The following is a 6,240-nucleotide window of genomic DNA, read 5'->3' as shown; positions in this document are numbered from 1 at the left end:
AAGATGTTGACAAAGCTGGATTTCCACGTGCAAAAGATGAGCCTGTACCCTGACCGTACACCATACATAAAAATTAACTCAAAATTGATTAAAAACCTAAATGTGAGACCAAATTATTTTATAAATTACTAAAGTAAAAAGGGAAAAAACTTCAGGATGTTGGAGATGGCAATGATTTCTTGAATATGACATCAGAAGCACAGATAACAGCAAAAATAGACAAATGGGACTACATCAAACTTAAAAACTTTGGCTAATCAAAGGAAACAAAGGCAATCTACAGAATAGACGAAAATGCTTACATATCATATATCTGATTTGCAATGTATCCTGGATTTATATGGAACTTTTACAACTCAACAACAATAACAAAACCAAATAACCTGATTTTAAAATGGACAAAGGACTTGAATAGGCAATTCTCCAATGAAGATATACAAATGAGCAATGAGCAACAAGCATATAAAAAGATGGTAAACATCTCTAGGTATAAGAGAAATATAAACCCAAACTCAATGAGAAATCACTGCACCTCCATTAGGATGGCCACTATCAAAAGGATGTAAATTGGTACAATCATTACAGAAAACGGTATAGAGGTTCCTCAAAAAATTATAACTAGAGCTACATTAGGATCCACCAATCCCATTTCTGGCTATAGATCCAGAGGAAGTGAAACTCCGTGAGATACCTGCACTCCCATGTTAGCTGCAACATTATTCACCATGGCCAAGATATGGAAACAACTATCTGTTGATGGATGAATAGATAAAGGAAATGTTTTGTTTGTTTGTTTGTTTGGGACGGTGTCTTGCTCTGTCACCCAGGCTGGAGTGCAATGGCGCAATCTTGGCTCACTGCCACCTCCGCCTTCCAGGTTCAAGCAGTTCTCTGCCTCAGTCTCCCAAGTAGCAGGGATTACAGGCACCCGCGACCACGCCCAGCTAATTTTTGTAGTTTTAATAGAGATGGGGTTTCACCATCTTCACCAGGCTGGTCTTGAACTTCTGACCTCGTGATCCACCCTCCTCGGCCTCCCAAAGTGCTCGGATTACAGGCGTGAGCCACCGAGCCCGGCCACAATGTGTTTATATACACAAAGGAATATTATTCTGCCTTAAAAAAATAAAGAAATCCTGACATATGTGACAATATGGATGAACCCGGAGGACATTATGTTAAGTGAAATAAAGAAGGCACAGAAATACAAATACTGCATTATTTCATTTACACGTAGAATCTAAAATAGTCAAAATCATAGAAGAAAGTAGCATGGTGATTTCCCTGTGTGTTAATTACCAATCTTCCCATATAGGTAATTCCATATGGCACAACTGTCCCTTACTTGTAGAGCCACGCCCACCCTGTTGCCATGAACTGCAGGTGTCCTTCCATGGTTGCTTGCCCAGTGCAAGGCCCTGTTATCTCTCTCTACACTACTCTACACTTCCACAAGCTGCTGCTTCTGTTTTTTTTTGTTGTTGTTGTTGTTGTTTGTTTTTGTTTTTGAGAGACGGGGTCTCACTATGTTGCCCAGGCTGGTCTCAAACGCCTAGGCTCAAGTGATCCTCCCGCCTCGGCCTCCCAAAGTGCTGGGATTACAGGCGTGAGCCACTATGCCTGGTGTAAAAAAGATTTTTTAACAAAAATGAGATGTTTTATTGTCTTCTCTTTGCAATTAGAGTGAAAGCCAGAATCCTTGTTGTGGGCCCTAAACCATATGGCTTTTGACTCCTTTTCCAGTATCTACTGTTTTTCTTCTACACTCTGCTTCTCAGCACAAAGCCGAATGTGTTGCTGTCTTCCATAAAAATCCTTCCTCCAGTCGGGTGTGGTGGCTCACACCTGTAATCCCAGCACTTTGAGAAGCTGAGGCAAGTGCATCACTTGAGGCCAGGGGTTTGAGACCAGCCTGGCCAACATGGTGAAACCCCGTCTCTACTAAAAATACAAAAACTAGCCAGGCGTGGTGGGGCACGCCTGTAATCCCAGCTACTCAGGAGACTGAGGCAGGAGACTCTCTTGAACCCAGGAGGGCAGAGGTTTCAGTGAGCTGAGATTGTACCACTGCATTCCAGCCTGGGCAACAGAGCGAGACTCTGTCTCAAATAAATAAATAAACAAATCCTTTCTCAGCTGGGCACAGTGGCTCATGCCTGTAATCCCAGCACTTTGGGAGGCCCAAGTGGGTGGATGACCTGAGGTCAGACCAGGCTGACCAACATAGTGAAACCCCATCTCTACTAAAAATACAAAATTATCCAGGCGTGGTGGCACATGCCTATAATCCCAGCACTTTGGGAGGCTGAGGTGGGACAACTGCTTGAGCCCAGGAGTTTGAGACCAGCTTGGGCAGCATAGTGAGATCCTGTCTCTACAAAAAAAAAAAAATTATGAAAATTAGCTGGGCATGATGGCACACTCCTGTGGTCCCAGCTACTTGGGAGGCTGAGACAGGAGGGTTGCTTGAGCCCGGGAGGAGGAGATTGCAGTGAGCTGAGATTGTGCCACTGCACTCCAGCCGCCTGGGCAATAAAGCAAGACCAGATCTGTCTCATATAAATACATACATACATACATACATATATATATACACCCCAACCCTCAAAAGCCAACAGCCAACAATGATGTAAAAAATTAAAAACTCAACCGGGCACAGTGGCTCACGCCGGTAATCCCAGCATTTTGGGAGGGTGAGGCGGGCAGATTACTTGAGGTCAGGAGTTCGAGACCAGCCTGACCAATATGGAGAAAACCCGTCTCTACTAAAAATATAAAATTAGCCGGGCATGGTGGCACACGCCTGTAGCCGAACTACCCGGGAGGCTGAGGTGGGAGGATCGCCTGAGCCCAGGAGGTTGAGGCTGCAGTGAGCCATGATCGTGCCATTGCACTTTAGACTAGGCAGCAGAGTGAGACCCTGTCTCAAAAAGAAAAAACAAAAAACCAAATTTGTACTTCTGCTCTGGGGAAAACAGACATGTATTTCCCTACTCTTTTCACTAAACACACTACAAATCTTCACTATTGTATCTAAAACAAACATAAGAAAACTCTGAAAAGTAGAGAGAAGCAAGCCACTGGCAATGGCACTCAGTCAGACTCAAGTGACAACATGGTGATGAGTTCTCTGGGTCTCTGTTTACCTCATATATCCTAGTCTTGGAAGCAAAGAAGCTGGCAACTCAGAAATGCAAATGGGCACACAAAAAGCACCCCCCAAAAGTCTCCATCCTCTCTCTAGCCAAAAGACCAGGAAAGGGACAGCCTATCACGACAGTACACAGTAACTGCTTTACTCCAGTCAGAACTGCAGAAAAACCATGTCCACACCCCTACTATGCCAACAGAAATGGAAGAAGGGCCTAGACTTCCATCTCTGCCAGGAAGAAAGGAGGGCAAATGCAATAGGCTTCCCTTCTCCTCTTGAGTCTTCTAAATTGTGTTTGATAGTGGAGGCAAAAATTATAATTGTCCTGTGGGTCTAAATACACATAGAGGGGCTGGGTGCAGTGGCTCACGTCTGTAATCCCAGCACTTCGGGAGGGCGAGGTGGGCGGATCACTTGAGGTCAGGCGTTTGAGACCAGACTGACCAACATGGTGAAACCTTGTCTCTACTAAAAATACAAAAATTAGCCGGGCGTGGTGGTGTATGCCTGTAATCCCAGCTACTCGGGAGGCTGAGGCAGGAGAATCACTTGAACCTGGGAGATGGAGGTTGCAGTAAGCTGAGGTCACGCCATTGCACTCCAGCCTGGGCATCCCAGCGAGACTGACTGTCTGGAAAAAAATAAAAGTAAAAAATACCACTCTGCGTTCTGGTTCTGGTCTGGCATGTAAGAAGCTTAGAAATCTCCACTCCTGGCCGGGTATGGTGGCTCATGCCAGTAATCCTAGCAGTTTGGGAGGCCCAGGTGGGTGGACTGCCTGAGCTCAGGAGTTCGGGACCAGCCTGGGAAACACGGTGAAACCCCGTCTCTACTAAAATACAAAAAACTAGCTGGGCATGGCGGTGGGCGCCTGTAGTCCCAGCTACTTGGGAGGCTGAAGCAGGAGAATCACTTGAACCAGAGAGGCGGAAGTCACAATGAGCCAAGATCGCACCACTGCACTCCACCCTGGGTGACAGAGCGAGACTCCGTCTCCAAAAAAAAATTAAAAAAAGAAATCTCCACTCCTGAAAGAGAGATTAAGATCAACAACTCTTCTGAAACAGATTTGTAAGAGATGTGAGGATACAGGACCACTCTCTGCCCTCTCCAAAATGAAGAGAGGACAGGTGAATACAGACAGCCACAATTTACTGGAACAGAAACTTAGGAGCTGAAACATGGGGAACCTGTGCCAGGCAGGGAAACCAGAACTGTAACTGACGACCTGCTGGAGACTCAGTGTGGAAAAGTCTCAGATGAAAACTCCAGGAGGACCCAGGTACTGGGTGGGGGTCCCTACGCTTTCGTGAATTTTACCTGCTGGAGCTCAGCCAGGTTCTCACAGTAAAGATCTGAGAAAAAATCCCAGATTTTTGTGTGTCTGGCAGGGAGAAGGGAAATAAACATTTTGAAATATACCACTTTGAAATAAATATAAGCATTCTGCTCTTAACAAGATCTTCCCCGAGGAGCAACTATTAGGCTCATGCCAGTATCCCAGCACTTTGGGAGGCCAAGGTGGGAGGATTGCTTAAGGTCAGAAGTTTGAGACCAGCCTGGGCAACAAAGTGAGATCTCATCTCTACAAAAGACTGTTTTTTTTTAGTTAGCCAGGTGTGGTGCTGCATGCCTGTAGTTCCAGCTACTTGGGGGTGCTGAGGCAGGAGGATGGTTTGAGCCTGAAGTTCACGGCTGCAGTAAGCTGTGATGGCACCACTGCACTCCAGACTGGGCAACAGAGGGAGACCCAGCCTTCCCTGACCAAAACAAACAGTTTAACCAGAGACTCATCTAATGAGGTTTCCTCAGAGCCTAACTGACCTGGGCAAAAAGAAACAATTTAACCCTTCAGAGCCTAATGCCTTCAGGGAAGGAAAATACCCACCTTCAGTTCCCTGCAGCCATCCCATCCTCTCCCACCTGAGGACTTGGGTGGGGTGGAGGGGAGCAACCTGAGCAGCACTGGGAAGTTCAGTCCAGGCACAGGCTCACCACAAGGCTGAGACCTCATCACGGGGCTGTCACGTGCTTCCCTGCCCCCACACCTTATCACCACATCACTAAAGCCTTATCCACTGCAGTTCCCTGCTCAGCCATACCATGCCCCATTTTCAAGAAACAAAATAACAGCACATACTCGAAGGCAAAAAAACAGTTTAAAGAGAGAGAGAACATGAATCAGAACCAGACTCAGACGGCAGGGACATTGGAATTATCAGACAGGGAGTTTAAAACCACTGCGATTCGTCTCTACTAAAAATACACAATTAGCTGGGCGTGGTGGCCCGCGCCCGTAATCCCAGCTACTCGGGAGGCTGAGGCAGGAGAATCACTTGAACCCAGGAGGTGGAGGTTGCAGTGAGCCAAGATGATGCCATTGCACTCCAGCCTGTGCAACAAGAGCGAAACTCCACCTCAAAAAAAAAAAGAAAGAAAAGAAAAAGAAAAAAAAAACAGAGAAGGAAATTACATAATGATAAAAAGTTTAATCCACCAAGACGGCATAGCAATCCTAAATGTGTATGCATTAAGAAACAGAGCTATAAAAATATGTGAAACAAAATGTGGAAGAAAATGAATAGAGAAATAGACAATTAGACAAGTGCACAATTGTAGTTGGAGGTTTCAACATCCCTCCCTCAACATCAGGACACAACTAGGCAGGATATCTGCAAGGAAATAGAATGATATTCAACACCACCAACAACCAAAAGGATCTAACAGACATTTGTCAAACACTTCAACCAACAACAGCATACATTCCTTTCAAGTGCCCAGAGAACATACACCCAATAGACCAATTTCCAGAGCATAAAACAAACTTCAACACATTTAGAAGAATTTTATCATACAGAATGTGTTCTCTGACCATGATGGAATCAAACTGGAAACAAGAACAGAAAGACAACATAAAAAACTTTTATACTTGGAAAATCAATAACACACTTCTACATAATCCATGGGTCCGTAGGAAGTCTTAAGGGAAATCAAAATGCATGGAAGGAATGAAGATGAAAATACAACATATCGAAATGTGTGGGGCACAGCTCTAAAGCAAGGCTGAGAAAGAATCAACCCAACAGGAC

Source organism: Homo sapiens, chromosome 5 (genome assembly GCF_000001405.40).
Source record: "Homo sapiens chromosome 5, GRCh38.p14 Primary Assembly".
Lineage (NCBI taxonomy): Eukaryota > Metazoa > Chordata > Mammalia > Primates > Hominidae > Homo > Homo sapiens.
This window is presented reverse-complemented; position numbering follows the sequence as displayed.